The sequence below is a fragment of the Homo sapiens genome, chromosome 7, assembly GCF_000001405.40.
Source record: "Homo sapiens chromosome 7, GRCh38.p14 Primary Assembly".
NCBI classification, from domain to species: Eukaryota; Metazoa; Chordata; class Mammalia; order Primates; family Hominidae; genus Homo; species Homo sapiens.
Window position 1 is genome coordinate 135,052,255 of NC_000007.14, and position 18,027 is coordinate 135,070,281.

At 36.5% G+C, this 18,027-nt stretch overlaps 1 protein-coding gene across 13 annotated transcripts in view; it reads left to right on the forward strand.

Annotated features, from left to right (window-relative positions):
• The window catches only part of AGBL3 (AGBL carboxypeptidase 3), a 149,271-nt gene that overhangs the window by 65,747 nt on the left and 65,497 nt on the right, over nucleotides 1-18,027 (forward strand). For 7 of the 13 annotated variants that reach the window (NR_144293.1, NR_160300.1, NM_178563.4 and 4 more), the window contains one exon: nucleotides 6,915-6,981. The exons of 5 other annotated variants lie outside the window; for them this stretch is intronic. Coding sequence is in view for 5 of the 8 variants with exons in the window: in NM_178563.4 (NP_848658.3) it covers nucleotides 6,915-6,981 (67 nt within the window). In the remaining 3 variants the exon portion in view is untranslated. Of the gene's footprint in view, nucleotides 1-6,914; nucleotides 6,982-18,027 lie in introns of those variants that run through there. One more of the 13 variants, XM_047420321.1, reaches the window with a different exon arrangement.

An 18,027-nucleotide genomic window follows, 5' to 3' on the forward strand; every position in this document is an offset into this window, starting at 1 on the left:
ATATCTAGCTATTTTCACTTACAATACTCTGGAAATCACTGTAGATTTTTCAGTACATAGGGGTTTTCCTTATTTCTGTGTAGTACTCCACAGGGTGGATATATCATAATTTACTCAGTCTGTCCTCTACTGATGGAACATTTGAAAATCGCCTACTTTTTCCAATTAGCACTTTTTTTCCATAGATTCGGGGGGCTATATGTGTGGGCTTGTTACACGTATTTATTGCATAATGCTGGGGTTTGGGCTTCCATTGAACCCATCACCCAAATTGTGAATATAGTGCCCAATAGGTAGTTTTTCAACCCCTCTCCCCCACCTTCCTCCCCCATCTTGGAGTCCCCAGTGCCTGTTGTTTCCATCTTTACATCCATGTGTACCCTTAGTTTAGCTCCCACTTGTAAGTGAGAACATGCGGTATTTGAAAATGATTTACTTTTAAATGTGGTTCTAAATGAGGATAAGAGACAGAAGTGAGATCAAATAAGATAATGTGTAAGTAAATCCTCTATAACTTTGTGCTATAAAATACTATATAAATAATATATATCATGTGTTATCTATCTAGAATACCTTTTAAGAAATTCAGGAATTTATGGTAAATTGGGACATAAACTTGATTTCCTAGCACCAATCAATATTCTACAGGAGTCTGGAGTCTGTTTTTTGAGGTTGCAGAATCATTCCATGTTGGTTATTTCGGAAACTTTGTAACATCTGATACACATTGAAGAAAGCTTCATCCTTACATGTGCAGAAATATTACAAATGTGCTACTTATGTATATTGCCCTTTTGAAAAAGGAACATAATAACCACTTTTTCCAGAGATATAAACCAATTTTAAATGAAAGCGTCCAAATATTTTAAGAACTTTGCATGCAGAAACATGTAGAAGGCATAGCTTCATTCTTTGCTTAAGAAAGCAAGGCCACACCAGAAGTGATGGGTGAAAAATGCGTGAAGCTGACTTTCAGGACAATAAAAGGAAGAACTCCCTAATAATGAGTGCTAATTCTGAGAAGGGTTAGTGGAAAGTAGTTAGTACCTTGTTATAGAAAGGATTCAGCCAGGCCGGGCAGGGTGGCTCATGCCTGTAATCCCAACACTTTGGGAGGCTGAGGTAGGCGTATCACCTGAGGTTGGGAGTTTGAGACCAGCCTGACCAACATGGATAAACCCCATCTCTACTAAAAATACAAAATTAGCCAGGCATGGTGGTACATGCCTGTAATCTCAGCTACTCGGGAGGCTGAGGCAGGAGAATCATTTGAACCCGGGAGGCGGAGGTTGCAGTGAGCTGAGATCGTGCCATTGCACTCCAGCCTGGGCAACAAGAGCAAAACTCCGTCTCAAAAAAACAAAACAAAACAAAACAAAACACACAAAGGATTCAGCCAAAGCTGGACGACCATCTGCTATGGGACTTAATAAAATAATTCCTGTATTGTGACAAAGATTTAGTTAAATTATTCCTGAGACCTAAAAAATGATAAGATTCTAATGGATACTGTCAATTTAACAATTCGTCTTAAGAAAATAAAAACATTTCTAATAAATAGGAAATGGACATTTAAAATATAGTCTGCCAGTCAATGTCTTCGATTTTAAGAAGAATAAGTATATATTAAATAGAAAATACTATTATAAAGCAATTTAAAACATAGACCTTTCAGTATAGATTCCTACTGTGTCAAAATCAAGGCTGATATGAACAACAGTTATGATATATTAATTATTTAAAAATTTGTTTACTTTTATTGTTTCATAAATTTGGTTACCTTCTATGATGGCATAAGTGAAACACATCAAGTCAGTACTGAGAGACCCTTAACTTTCTAACCATATGTGGCAGCCTTCTATATAATTTTAGGAGTTTCCATATTACAAATGAGGAGTTTAAGGCCTACAATGAATTAACCTCAGCCTGTCCTCTTGCCTTTGGCTGTCTTTAAGCTGGATCTAACACAGAAATAAAGATAAGTAAATTTACCTGGAAGGCCATTTTATAAGCACCTTGTAGCTGTATCTGAGAAGCAAAGTAAAATAAAATCCATTGGAACTTAAATTGTGAGTGCAGAGGAGAAATTTTCCAAATGAAACTTAAATTCCTTTTATAGCTGCTGCTGAAAAAGGAAGCATTGTGTTTCAAAATAAGGAAATGTAGAAGTTTCTTTGATTTAAGCATTGATACATTTTCTGATTTGCAATGGAAAATATTTGCTTATAGAGAATACAGTAGTACCACTAGGACAAACAATATTTTACAATTAATATAAAAAAGATAAAGCAACTTTAAAAGGTGTGTTGTTTAATGAAAAAATATTTTCTAATGCACATTGAATCAGATATTGTGGTAAATATAATAAACTACTTATGTAGTTTCTTAGCCAAAAAAGGAAAATATTTAATGGTAGATAATTAAAATATGCTTAAAAACATAAATATGTGTGTATACACATTACTGTAGTTATAAAAATATGCATGCACACATATATTTGTATGTTTCCTTATTTCCAAAATACAACCCAGAGAGTTTTCTTATTTATCAATCTGTATAGCTTCTTATTTGCTTCTCTTATTGTCTTACTCTGTTTAATGTTGCTACAACAGAATACCTAAAACTGGGTAATTTATAAAGAAAACAGGTTTATTTAGCTCATAGTTTTGCAGGTGAGGAAGTACAAGAAGCATGATGGTAGCACCTGCTCAGCTTCTGGTGAGGGCTTTTGATGCTACATCATAACATGGCAGAGAAGGTCAAAGGGGAAGTGGACACAGGCGAAGAGGCAAAAACCCAAGGGACATCTTTGCTTTATAATAACCCACTCTTGTGGGAACGAATCCATCACCACAACTAATCCAGTCTCACAAGAGTGAGAACCCGGTCATTCATAAGGGACCCACCCCCATGACCCAAACACCTCCCGCTAGGCCCTACCTCCCAACACTGGCACATTAGGAATCAAATTTCAACATGAGTTTGGGTGGGGACAAACCATAAGTGCTGAACCATATTATAGTACTTGTCTTACTGTATTAGCTAGAACTTCCAGTATGATACTGAGTAGAAGTGCTATGAGAAGACATCCTTATCCTGTCCTCAAAGCAGGAAAGCATCTAGTTTCTCACCATTATGTATGTTAGCTGTAAGGTTTCTGTAGATATCAAGTTGAACAAGATTCCCTCTACTTCGTTAGCTGAGAGTTTTTGTCATGAATATGTGTTGGATTTTGTCAAATGCTTTATGTCAAAAATATATTGATATAATTTTTTTTCTGCTTTAGCCTGTTAATGTGACAGATTACATCAACTGATTTTTGAATGTTGAAACAACCTGGCATACCTGGAATAAATCCTATTTGGTCATGGTGTATAATTCTTTTTATTCCTTGTTGTACTCAATTTGCTAATATTTTCTTAAAGATTTTTGCACCTGTGTTCATAAGACATATTGGTGTAGTTTTTCTTTCTTACAGTATCTTTGTCTGCTTTTGGTATTAGGATAATGCTAGCCTTTTAGAAAAAGTAAGTGTTCTCTCTGTTTCTATTTTCTGGAACAGATTTTAGAAAACTAGTATTTTTTTTCCTTAAATGTTTGGTAGAATCCACAATAAACCATCTGGGACTTGTGCTTTGTTTTGTAGGGTCACTAATTATCAATTCGATTTCTTTAATTGATATATAGATCTATATATCTATCTATTAGATCTATATCTCTCCCAGTGTGAGTTCTGGTACACTGTGTCTTTCAAGAAGCTGGTCTGTTTCATCTAAGCTATAAAATTTATGAGGACACAGTTGTTAGTATCCCTTCTTTATCTCTTTAATTTCCATAGCATCAGTAGCAATGACCCCTCTTTTATTTCTGATGTTAGCAAGTTGGGTTCTTTCTTTTTTCTTGGTTAACCTGGCCAGGGATTTATCTATTTTATTGATCTTTTCAAAGCAGCAGCATTGTGTTCATTGATTATTGATTCCCTGTTTTCAGTTTCTCTGATTTTTAAATTACTTCTTTTTTTCTGCTTGCATTACGTCTCTATTTCTCCTTTTTCTGATTTCCTAATGTGGACACTTGGATTGTTCATTTTAAAGCTTTCTTCTTTTCTGACATATGCATTCAATGCTATAAATTTCCCTCTAAGCACTGCTTGTGCACCATTCTACAAATATTGATAAGTTGTATTTTAAATTTAATTTAGTTAAAATATTTATCTTTGTTCACACTGGACATGGTTATCTATGTAGAAAATATCAAAGAATTTTTTAAAAACCTGAAACTAATAATTATAGAAGGATTTAAAGATAAAAGGTTAATATACAATTGCCTTTCAATATACCAGCCACGAACAACTGGAATTTAAAATTAAAAAAAAATACCATCTATGCTAGCACAAAAATTTAAAATACTTGGATTAAAGCTACCAAAATATGTGAAAGATGTATATGAGGAAAATTACAAACTCTGAGGAAAGAAATCAAAGAGGATCTAAATAAATGGAGAGAGAGTTTGTGTTCATAGACAGGAAGATGATATTGTTAAGATGTCAGTTCCTCCTGGCATGATTTTTGACTCAATGTAATTCCAATCAAAATCCCAGAAAGTTATTTTGTGGCTATAGACAAACTAATTCTAAAATTTGTGTGGGTATGTAAAAGACCTGAAATAGCTAACAAAATACTGAAGAAGGACAAAAATCCAAGGACCTACACTACTTGACTTTAAGACTTACTATAAAGCTACATAATTAAAACAGTGCAGTACTAGAGAAAGAACAGACAAATAGACCAATAAAACAAAATAGAGAACCCAGAAATATATCCAATATATTTGTCACCGCTGACAAATATAGTCAATGGTGTTTGAAAAAAGAGCAACAAAAATCCCTAGTTAAATGGAGAAATAAGGTCTTTTTGACAAATGTTACTGGAACAATTGGACATCCACAGGCAAAATGTGAACTAGAAGCAACTTTACACCTTTCACGAAAATTAACTCCAAATGAATTATAGACCTAGATGTAAAATACAAAACTATAAAACTCCTAGGGGATAACATAGGAGGAAAGCTAAATTCTCTTGAATTTGGTAATGACTTTTTAGATATGACAAAATCATGATCCATGAAAGAAAAAAATTAGTAGGTCTAAAGATGGTTGAAAACTGAAAAAAAATAAAAAGATGCTTGCCATCATTTTCATTAGGGAATTGCAGACTAAAACAACAGTGAAATATCATGACACACCTAATTATAATAGCTAAAATCCAAAGTAGTGACAATACTAAATGCCAGTGAGGATGAGGAGCAACAGGAACTCTCCTTCTTTGCTAGTGGGAATGCAAAATGGTACAGCTATTTTGGAAGCCAGTTTGGCAGTTTACAAAGCTAAGCATAGTCTCAACACTTGATCCAGCAATTGCATTCATATAGCAGCTTTATTCATGATTGACAAAACCTGGAAGCAACCAAAATGTCCTTCAATAGGTGAATGGATAAAGAAACATATGTTCAGACAATAAAATGTTATTCAGTGATTTTTTAAAATGAGCTATCAAACCATAAAAATATATGGCAGAACTTTAATTTATATTACTAAGTGGAAAATGTAAGTCTGAAAAGGCCACATACTATATGATCCCAGCTATATGACACTGGGTTGCCAGAAGTTCTGGGAAAACGAAGGATGAATAGATGGAACACAGAGGAATTTTAGGGCAGTTTAACTACTATTTATGATACTGTAATGATGGCTATATATCATTATAAAGTTGTCAAAACTCATAGAATGTATACCACAAGAGTAAACCCTAAGGTAAACTATAATTTTTAATAATGTATCAGTGTTGTTTAATCAATTGTAACAAATGTACCACATACTATCAGATATCTAATTTACAAATGTACCACATACTATAATTTAGGAAGTTATGCAGGGAATGGGGGCATGTGTATGGGAACTCTGTACTACCTGCTCAATTTTTCTGTAAACCTAGAACTTTTCTAAAAACATAAATTATATTAATTTTAAAATAATACATAAAAAATACAACCCAGAAATATTTTCTTTCTTGTATTGGCTCTCAAGCAAAAAAACGTGCCTACCACTGCATTAAATGATTACAATTAGAAACAGATTTGTTTGACCCTTTTTTCTTGAGGTACTATGTTTCATATGGTGCTGCATTGCTTTATGTAGAATGGATATAGTGATATAAAAATAAATGAATTTTAAGAGCTAATGATACCTATGACATCTAGGAAACTCCCCTGATATAGCATTTATTCATTAACATATTAACAAATCTTGAGTGCCTACTATATGCCAAGCACTATTTCCACTCTGGTGATACAGCAGTGAGCCAGACAGAAAAAAAAAAATCCTACTTTTCTGGAGCTTACATTCCATTAACACATTCCCAAACCTTTATATCTTTCCACACATTCAACAAAAACCCTCTAAGCTGTCTGGAACTACTAAACCTTTGTAAACATTCTTCCTCTTCTTCTTTTTTCCCCCCCAAGACAGAGTTTCACTCTTGTTGCCCAGGCTGGAGTGCAATGGCACGATCTCAGCTCACTGCAACCTCCGCCTCCTGGGCCCAGGAGATTCTCCTGCCTCAGCCTCCTGAGTAGCTGGGATTACAGGCAAGTGCCACCATGCCCAGCTAATTTTTGCATTTTTAGCAGAGACAGGGTTTCACCATGTTGGTCAGGCTGGTCTCAAACTCCTGACCTCAGGTGATCCACCTGCCCTGGCCTCCCAAAGTACTCGGATTACAGGCATGAGTCACTGCGCCCGGCCACTTCTTATAATTAGAACTTTTCAACCATTCAAATAAGATAAATAAAAGCAACAGTTGAAATTTTAAGATGCCACCAAAACACTGTATAAACCAAAATTATTTTTTTTGTAGTAGCCGAGGCTCTGACAGTTCAGAATCCATTGACTCTCTGACTTACCTTCTCAAGTTAACTTCTCAGGTATGACTGAACATTTTTGCTTATATGTGGATATGCTGTGTAGGTACTGTTCTTATTGTGACTAATAATCAGGCAAAAAAAATTGCAGATATGTAATTATTGTATCATCATTTATTTTCTAACTATGTAGATATTTTAAATCATAGAATTATTTAACTTTAGGGTTTCTTTTTCTAACATCCTTGTTTTATAGATGAGAATAGTTAAGATCCATAGAGATGAAATTATTTCTTAAAAGCCATACAACTTGTTAGTGACAGAGGTGGTAGCCTAACATACATCACCTGACTGCTTAATTTATACATTTATTATTCAACTATGTATTGAGCTACAACTATGTATCAGGCACTGGCTGAGTGATGGGGATAGAGCAGTCAACAAAATGAGACAACAGCTTTCCCTTTGTTATCTTACATTCTGGCTGGGGGAGATACAAAATAAAGAAGATAAGTAAAATACATGATGTGTTACATGGGATAAGTGCCTAAAGAGTAAATTAAAGCAGGAGCGGGAATAAAGAGTTTAGGTGGAGATTGCAGTTTGGGATAGAGGCTACCAAAGTGAAAGATAAATACTTAAGTAAGAACTCAAAGGAAATGAGGAACAAGCCAAGTAGATACTAGGTATATTAACTGCTTTTTGGTACATAACAACTTTAAAACCTCAGTGGCTTACAACAAACTTTTATTTTCTCACTCATGGGTCTGCCGGTTGGCTCTGTTAGACATGGGTAGGGTCAACTGGTCTTGGATTCAGGCTACAGGTTGAGTTCAGTTATGTTCCACATGTTTCTCATTTGCTTGGGCTAGAGAATACCCAGGCAAGATCCTATGTTGAAAACCCGGAGTACACAAGGTTAAACCAAGCAATATAATCCCTAACACACACTGTTAATAGTCTACCTCAAAACCTCTTTTTCCAGTGACCCAAGTCTATCCAGCAGATTTTTCTGTCTTTCAAACTATCACTTGAGACAGTTTTACTAAATGTATCACTTCTACATAATTTGTGTCATCATTCTTCAATTCATTTATTTTTAATAAGTAAAAATTATATATATTTATTGTATATGACACATTGTTTTGAAATATGTACACATTGTGGAATGGTGAAATTGAGCTAATTAATATATTCATTACCTCACATACTTATTTTTGTGGTGAGAACACTGAAAACACTTAAAATCTATTCTTAGCAATTTTCAGTATAATACATTGTTGTTAACTATAGTCACAATGATGCATAATAGATCTCTTGAACTTATTCCTCCTATCTAACTGGAATTTTGTATCCTTTGACTAACACCTGCTCAACCCATACCCCTTCACTCCTGCAGTCCCTGGTAACTACCATTCTACTCTCAACTTCTATGAATTCAGCATTTTTTTTTAATACTCCACACATAAGTGAGAACATGATCTTTCTGTGCCTGGCTTATCTCACTTAACGCAATGTCCTCCACGTTCATCTATATTACTCCAAGTGAAAAGATTTCCTTCTTTTTAAAGGCTGAATAGTATTTCATCGTGCTACATACCACATTTTCTTTATCCATTTATCTGTCGATGAACACTTAAGTTGATTCCATACACTGGCTATTGTGAATAGTGCTGCAATGACCATGGGAGTGCAATATCTCTTTGACATACTGACTTCCTTTCCTGTAAGATATAGACTCAGTAGTGGGATTGCTAGTTTAGATGATAGTTCTATTTTTAATTTTTTGAGGAACTTCCATACTGTTTTCCATAATGGCTGTACTAATTTATATTCCCACCAACAGTGTACAGGGGTTCCTTTTCTCCACATCTCCAACACTAATTATCTTTTTTTTTTTTATAACAGCCACTCTAACAGGCATGAGGTAATATCCATATGTGGTTTTAACATGCATTTCTCTGATGATTAGTGATGTAGGGCATTTTTAAATATACCTGTTGGCCATTTGTATTTGTTCTTTTGACAAGTATCTATTCAGAGCCTTTGCTCATTTTTTAATCAGGTTATTTGTTTTCTTACTATTGAGTTCCTGATATATTTTGGATATTAACCCCTTATCAGATGTATGGTTTGCAAATATTTTCTCCCATCCCATTAGATGTCTCATCATTCTGTTGATTGTTTCATTGGCTGTACAAAGGCTTTTTAGTTTGATGTAATCCCATGTATCTGCTGCTTTTGCTTTTGTTGCCTGTGTTTTCAAGTTCATATCCAAAAAAATGATTGCCCAGACCAATGTCATCGAGCCTTTCCCCTATACTTTTTTCAGTAGTTTTATAGTTTCAAGTCTTACATTTAAGTCTTTAATCCAATTTTAGTTGATTTTTGTACATAGTGTGAGATGAGTCTAATTTCATTATTTTGCATGTGGATATCTTATTGTCCTAACAGCATTTATTGAAGATACTGTCCTTTTCACATCGTGTGATCTTGGCACTTCTGTCAAAAGTCAATTGACTATAAATGCACAGATTTATTTTGGGGCTATTTCATTCTATTGGTTTATGTGTCTGTTTTTAAGCCAGTACCATACCATTTTGATTTCTTAGTTTTATAGTATATTTTAAAGTCAGACAGTGTGAGCTTCCAGGTTTGTTCATGTAGCTCAAGACTGTTTTGGCTAGTTCGGCTCCTTTGTGGTTCCATATGAATTATAGAATTTGTTTTCTATTTCTCTGAAAAATCCCATTGGAATTTTGATAGAGATTGTATTGAATCTGTAGATCACTTTGGGTAGTATGGACAATTTGACAATATTAATTATTCTGATCCATGAGCACAAGATATCTTTCCATTTCTTCATAGAAGACATTCCATGTCTTCTTCCATTTCTTTTATCAATGTTTTATAATTGTCAGTATACAGGTCTTTCACTTCCTTGGTTAAATTTATTCCTACATATTTTTTGTAGATATTATAAATGGAATTATGTTCTTGATTTCTTTTTTGATTTTTAGATAGTTTGTTATTAATCATACTTTGTATAGAATCACTACTGATTTTGTATGTTGATTTTTTATCCTTCAACTTTACTGAATTTTTAAATTCTGTTCTTTGATGGGAGTTTTCTATATATAAGATCATGTTGTCTCCAAACAAGGACAATTTAACTTCTTCCTTTTACTCTTGTCTAATTGCTCTGGCTAGGACTTCAGTACTATGTTGAATAGAAGTGGTAAAAGTGGGCATCATTGTCTTGTTCCTGATCTTAGAGGAAAAGCTTTCAAGTTTTCACCATGGGGTATGATGTTAGCTTTGGGTTTGTCATAGATGGCCTTTATTGTATTGAGGTACATGCATTTTATACCTTATTTTTGGAGCATTTTTTATCATGAAAGGATGTTGAATTCTATCAAATGCTTCCTTCTGCATATATTGAGATGATCATAGGGTTTTTGTCCTTCATTCTGCTAATATGATGTATCACATTTATCAATTTGCATATGTTGAACCATCCCTGTATTCCTGGGATGAATCTCACTTGATCATGATGAATAATCTTTTATTGTGCTGCTAGATTTGGTTTGTTAGTATTCTGTTGAAGATTTTTGCATCTATGCTTCTCAGGGATATTGGTCTGTTATCTTTTTCTTGTAGTTTACTTGTCTGGCTTTGGTATCAGATAAATGCTGGCTTCATTAAATGAATTTGGAAATATTCCCTCTTCTTCAATTTTTTGTAAGAGTTTAAGAAGGATTCATATTAGTTCCTCTTTAAATGTTTAGTAGAATTCAGCAGTCAAACCATCAGGTCTTTGGCTTTTCTTTGATGGGAAACTTTTTATTTCTAATTTAATCTCTTTACCCATTATTCATCTATTCAGATGTTCTGCTTCTTCATGATTCAGTCTTGGTAGGTTATATGTAGCAAGGAATTTATTTATTTCTTCTAGGTTATCTAATTTGTTGGCATATAATTGTTTATAATGGTAGTCTTTTATGATCCTATTTCTGTGGTGTCGGTTATAATGTCTCATCTTTTCTGACTTTATCTGAGTCTTCTCTCTCTCTCTTCTTAGTCTAGCTATAGATTTGTCCATTTTGTTTCTTTTTTTAAAAACAAAAAACCATTTCATTGGTCTTTCCTATTGTTTTTCTAGTCCCTATTTATTTTTGCTCTGATATTATTTTCTTCTTTCTGCTAACTCCATGCTTAGTTTGTTCTTCTTTTCCTAGTTCCTTGAAGTGTAACACTAGGTTGTGTATTTCAGAACTTGTTTTTCCTTTTTTTTCAGCCCCAGCTCAAAAGATCTTCTTTTTTGATGTAGGTGTTTATTGATATGAACTTCCCTCTTAGAACTGCTTTTGCTGCATCTGATAAGTTTTGATATGTTGTATTTCCATTTTTGTTTGTCTCAAGATATTTTTAAATTTCTGTTTTAATTTCTTTACTGACCCATTGGCTGTTCAGGAGTGTATTATTTAATTTCCATGTTCTTGTGAATATGTCACTATTTTTCTGTTATATTTTCCTAATTACCTACTATGCAGTCACAAAAGCAATGACTATGACATAGTTTAGGTTTTGTTAGGACAGCATCTTACTTCTGCATATCAATTTCTGTAGTTTTCAGATTTTAATGCATAACACCCTCAGACTATCAATGGCTTACAATAGCAAACATGTATTTTCTTGTTCATGAATCTGAAGGTCAGCAGTGGCTCTACTGAACTAATCAGAAATCAGCCAAACTTAGCTCCTAATTGTGGGTTGGGTTCAGGTTTATTTCACCTTTCTTTCTTCACCTAGACCAGCAGCCAGCTAGGGCATATTTTGCTCATGGCCAATCACAAGAGTTCAAGAGGGCAAGACAAACCATGCAAATCTATTTAAAGCCTCTGATTAACATTCCACTGGCCAAATTAAGACATATGTCCAAATTCAACATCAATGGGGTGGGGAAGGATAATTATATAATAGTGAACATTTAGGAACAATCCAGGGGTATCTTTTCCCAGGCCAGGAGTACTAAAAGTGCAGTGGCCCTGAGGAAGGAGCATATCTGTCATTTTCTAGGAAAACCAAGGAAGCTAATGTGGCTAGAGAAGAATTAACAAGAAGAACAATGGTAAAACATGAAATCAGATAGGCTTTGAAGGTTGCAGGAGCAGGTCATGTAAAGCCTGGTAGGCTTCGGACTTCAGTTTTTGCTCTGAGTTTGGAGATCTTTGATCAGAGGAATGACATGATCTGCCTCAAGTGGTTAGTAGGGTCACCTTGGCTGTTGTGTTAAGAGTACAATGATGACCCATAAGGGAGACCAATTAGGGGGCTCTTATAATAACCCAGGCAAGATAAAAGTGGTGGCTGCACCAAGGTGATACTAGTAGAGGGAATGAGAAGTGATTAGATTTTAGATATATTTTCAAGATAGTGTTAAGAGAATTTGCTGATGACATGTTTATAAGATTGAAAAATAGAAAGGAAAGAAGGTGGTCTCCAGAATTTGGGACCTGAGCATCTGGAGATTAGAGTTTCCATTCCATGAGGACAATGGTAAAATAGTTAACTTAATTTTGTTCTCTAGCTACTAAACCATATTTTGAAGATGTATTAGGACTCTCTCCATTGCAAGAGGCAAAAAATCCTTCCAAAATGGCTTAGTCAAAAGGGAAATTTGTTGGATTACTAAATAAAAAGTCTAGGGACAAGGCTGGCTTTTGTCATGGCTTAAATGAGGGGCTCAGATGATGTCATTAAGATCCTGGAGGGTTTTTTCTCCTGCTTTCATCTCATTTCTGCCTTTTCTTGGTTGGTTCCATTCTCAGACAGACTTTCTTCTCTTGGTGTTAAAATGACCATAGAAATCCAGCCTCACATCCTCACTATACTAAGTCTGGTTGAGACATCCTCCTATATAGTAGTTCTCTCAAAAATGCAGATATTGACATTTTTAACAAAGAGGTGAAAGATCTGTTCAGTGAAAACTGTAAAATGTTCATGAAATTGAAGACACAAATAAATGGAAAGTATTTTGTGTTCGTGAATCAGAAGAATTAATATTGTCAAAATGTCTATACTACCCAAAGCTCTCTACAAATTCAATGCAATACCTATTTCAATGACATTTTTCACAGAAATAGAACAAACAGTACTAAAATTTGTATAGAACCACAAAAGAGCCTGAATAGCTAAAGCAAACTTGAGCAAGAACAACAAAGCTGGAGGCATCACACTTCCTGATTTTAAAATATGTTACAAAGCTACAATAACCAAAAGTATATGATACTGGCATATGAACAGACACACAGCACAATGGAGCAAAATAGAAAGCCCAGAAGTAAAACCATGCATATACAGTCAGCTGATCTTTGACAAGGGTGCTAAGAATACACAATGAAGAAAAGATAGTCTCTTGAAAAAATAGTGTTGGTGGCTGAGTGTGGTGGCTCACACCTGTAATCCCAACACTTTCAGAGGCCAAGGCAGGAGAATCACTTGAGCTTAGGAGTTCGAGACCAGCCTAGGCAACAGAGTGAGACCCCACCTCTACAAAAAATAAGAAAATTATCCGGGCATGGTGGCTCACGCCTATAGTCCCAGCTTCTCAGGAGGCTGAGGTGGGAGGATCAATGAGCCTGGGAGGTCAAGGCTGCAGTAAGTCATGATTGGGCCACTGCACTCGAGCCTGAGCAACAGAATGAGACCCTGTATCAAAGAAACAAAAATGGTGTTGGGAAACTGGATATATACATAAAACAGAATGAAATTGGACCTTTATACTACACACAAAAAGTCAACTGAAGATGGGCTAAACACTTAAACGTAAGACCTGAAACCATAAAACTCCTAGAAGAAACATAGGGGAAAGCACCATGACATTGATCTTGACAATAATTTCACGGCTATAACACCAAAAGCATAGACAACAAAAACAAACTTAAACAAGTGGGACTATAACAAACTAAAAAGCTTCTGTACAACCAAGAAAATATTTAATAGCAGGAAAAGGCCACCTATGGAATAGAAGAAAATACTTGCAAATCATATATCTGAACAGGGGGTAATCTCCAAAATTTTTAAGGAACTCCTACAACTTAATAGCAAAAGAACCCACTAAGCTGATTTTAAAATGGGCTAAGTACTTGAATAGACATTTCTCCAAGGAAGACATATAAATGGCCAACAATTATATGAAAAGTTGTTCAACATCACTAATCATCAGAGAAATTCAAATCAAAACCACAATGAGATATCATCTCACACCTGCTTGGTCAAAAAATTAAAAAATTGTGTTTGCAAGGATGTGGAGAAAATGAAGCCTTTATACATTGTCAGTGAGAATGTAAATTGGTACAGCAATTATGGAAAACAATATGGAGTTTCCTCAAAAAAATTTAAAAGTGAATTACCATATGATACAGTAATCACCCTTCTGGTATTTATCCAAAAGAATGGAAATCCAGATGCTAAAGAGATATTAGCATTCCCATGTTTATTGCAGTACTATTCACAATAGCCAAGATGCAGAAACAAGTGTCTATCAATGGATGAATGGATAAAAAAGATGAGGGGGGATTTTAGAGCCAAGATGGCCGAACAGGAACAGCTCCAGTCTACAGTTCCCAGTGTGAGCGACGCAGAAGACAGGTGATTTCAGCATTTCCAACTGAGGTACAGGGTTCATCTCAATGGGGATGTCGGACAGTGGGTGCAGGACAGTGGGTGCAGTGCACCGAGCATGAGCCGAAGCAGGGCGAGGCATTGCCTCACCCAAGAAGTACAAGGGGTCAGGGAATTCCCTTTCCTAGTCAAAGAAAGGGGTGACAGATGGCACCTGGAAAATCAGGTCACTCCCACCCTAATACTGCGCTCTTCCAACGGTCTTAGCAAACAGCACACCAGGAGATTATATCCTGCGCCTGGCTCAGAGGGTCCTACACCCATGGAGCCTCGCTCATTGCTAGCACAGCAGTCTGAGATCAAACTGCAAGGCGACAGCAAGGCTGGGGGACGGGCACCCACCATTGCCGAGGCTTGAGTAGGTAAACAAAGCGGCCAGGAAGCTCGAACTGGGTTGAGCCCACCGCAGCTCAAGGAGGCCTGCCTACCTCTGTAGACTATTCCACCTCTGGGGGCAGGGCATAGCCAAACGAAAGGCAGCAGAAACCTCTGCAGACTTAAATGTCCCTGCCTGACAGCTTTGAAGAGAGTAGTGGTTCTCACAGCACGCAACTGGAGATCTGAGAACGAGCAGACTGCCTCCTCAAGTGGGTCCCTGACCCCCGAGTAGCCTAATTGGGAGGCACCCCCCAGTAGGGGCAGACTGACACCTCACACGGCCCGGTACTCCTCTGAGACAAAACTTCCAGAGGAACAATCAGGCAGCAGCATTTGCTGTTCACCAATATCCGCTGTTCTGCAGCCTCCGCTGCTGATACCCAGGCAAACAGGGTCTGGAGTGGACCTCCAGCAAACTCCAACAATCCTGCAGCTGAGGGTCCTGACTGTTAGAAGGAAAACTAACAAACAGAAAGGACATCCACACCAAAACCCCATCTGTTCATCACCATCATCAAAGACCAAAGGTAGATAAAACCACAAAGATGGGGAAAAAACAGAGCAGAAAAACTGGAAACTCTAAAAATCAGAGCGCCTCTCCTCCTCCAAAGGAACGCAGCTCCTCACCAGCAACGGAACAAAGCTGGATGGAAAATGACTGACGAGTTGAGAGAAGAAGGCTTCAGACAATCAAACTACTCCAAGCTAAAGGAGGAAGTTCGAACCCATGGCAAAGAAGTTAAAAACCTTGAAAAAAATTAGACGAATGGCTAACTAGAATAACCAATGCAGAGAAGTCCTTAAAGGACCTGATGGAGCTGAAAACCATGGCACAAGAACTACGTGATGAATGCACAAGCCTCAGTAGCCGATTCGATCAACTGGAAGAAAGGGTATCAGTGATGGAAGATCAAATGAATGTAATGAAGTGAGAAGAGAAGTTTAGAGAAAAAATAATAAAAAGAAACCAACAAACCTCCAAGAAATATGGGACTATGTGAAAAGACCAAATCTACGTCTGCTTGGTGTACCTGAAAGTGACGGGGAGAATGGAACCAAGTTGGAAAACACTCTGCAGGATATTATCCAGGAGAACTTCCCCAATCTAGCAAGGCGGGCCAACATTCAAATTCAGGAAATACAGAGAACACCACAAAGATACTCCTCGAGAAGAGCATCTCCAAGACACATAATTGTCAGATTCACCAAAGTTGAAAAGAAGGAAAAAATGTTAAGGGCAGCCAGAGAGAAAGGTCGGGTTACCCACAAAGGGAAGCCCATCAGACTAACAGCTGATCTCTCGGCAGAAACTCTACAAGCCAGAAGAGAGTGGGGGCCAATATTCAACATCCTTAAAGAAAAGAATTTTCAACCCAGAATTCCATATCCAGCCAAACTAAACTTCATAAGTGAAGGAGAAATAAAATACCTTACAGACAAGTAAATGTTGAGAGATTTTTGTCACCAGCAGGCCTTCCCTAAGAGAGCTCCTGAAGGAAGCACTAAACATGGAAAGGAACAACCAGTACCAGCCACTGCAAAAACATGCCAAATTGTAAAGACCATCGATGCTAGGAAGAAACTGCATCAACTAACGAGCAAAATAACCAGCTAACATCACGACAGGATCAAATTCACACATAACAATATTAACCTTAAATGTAAATGGGCTAAATGCTCCAATTAAGACAGACTGGCAAATTGGATAAAGGGTCAAGACCCATCAGTGTGCTGTATTCAGGAAACCCATCTCATGTGGAGACACAAATAGGCTCAAAATAAAGGGATGGAGGAAGATCTGTCAAGCAAATGAAAACAAAAAAAGGCAGGGGTTGCAATCCTAGTCTCTGATAAAACAGACTTTAAACCAACAAAGATCAAAGGCGACAAAGAAGGCCATTACATAATGGTAAAGGGATCAATTCAACAAGAAGAGCTAACTATCCTAAATATATATGCACCCAATACAGGAGCACCCAGATTCATAAAGCAAGTCCTTAGAGACCTACAGAGACTTAGACTCCCACACAATAATAATGGGAGACTTTAACACCCCACTGTCAACATTAGACAGATCAACAAGACAGAAAGTTAACAAGGATATCCAGGAACTGAACTCAGCTCTGCACCAAGCAGACCTAACAGACATCTACAGAACTCTCCACCCCAAATCAACAGAATATACATTCTTTTCAGCACCACACCACACCTATTCCAAAATTGACCACATAGTTGGAAGTAAAGCACTCCTCAGCAAATGTAAAAGAACAGAAATGATAACAAACTGTCTCTCAGACCACAGTGCAATCAAACTAAAACTCAGGATTAAGAAACTCATTCAGAACTGCTCAACTGCATGGAAACTGAGCAACCTGCTCCTGAATGACTACTGGGTACATAAGAAATGAAGGCAGAAATAAAGATGTTCTTTGAAACCAACGAGAACAAAGACAAAACATACAGAATCTCTGGGACATATTCAAAGCAGTGTGTAGAGGGAAATTTATAGCACTAAATGCCCACAAGAGAAAGCAGGAAATATCTAAAATTGACACCCTAACATCACAATTAAAAGAACTAGAGAAGCAAGAGCAAACACATTCAAAAGCTAGCAGAAGGCAAGAAATAACTAAGATCAGAGCAGAACTGAAGGAAATAGAGGCACAAAAAAACCCTTCAAAAAATCAATGAATCCAGGAGCTGGTTTTTTGAAAACATCAACAAAATTGATAGACTGCTAGCAAGATTAATAAAGAAGAAAAGAGAGAAGAATCAAATAGACACAATAAAAAATGACAAAGGGGATATCACCACCAATGCCACAGAAATACAAACTACCATCAGAGAATACTATAAACACCTCTATGCAAATAAACTAGAAAATCTAGAAGAAATGGATAAATTCCTCGACACATACACCCTCCCAAGACTAAACCAAGAAGAAGTTGAATCTCTGGATAGACCAATAACAGGCTCTGAAATGGAGGCAATAATTAATAGCTTACCAACCAGAAAAAGTCCAGGACCAGATGGATTCACAGCCGA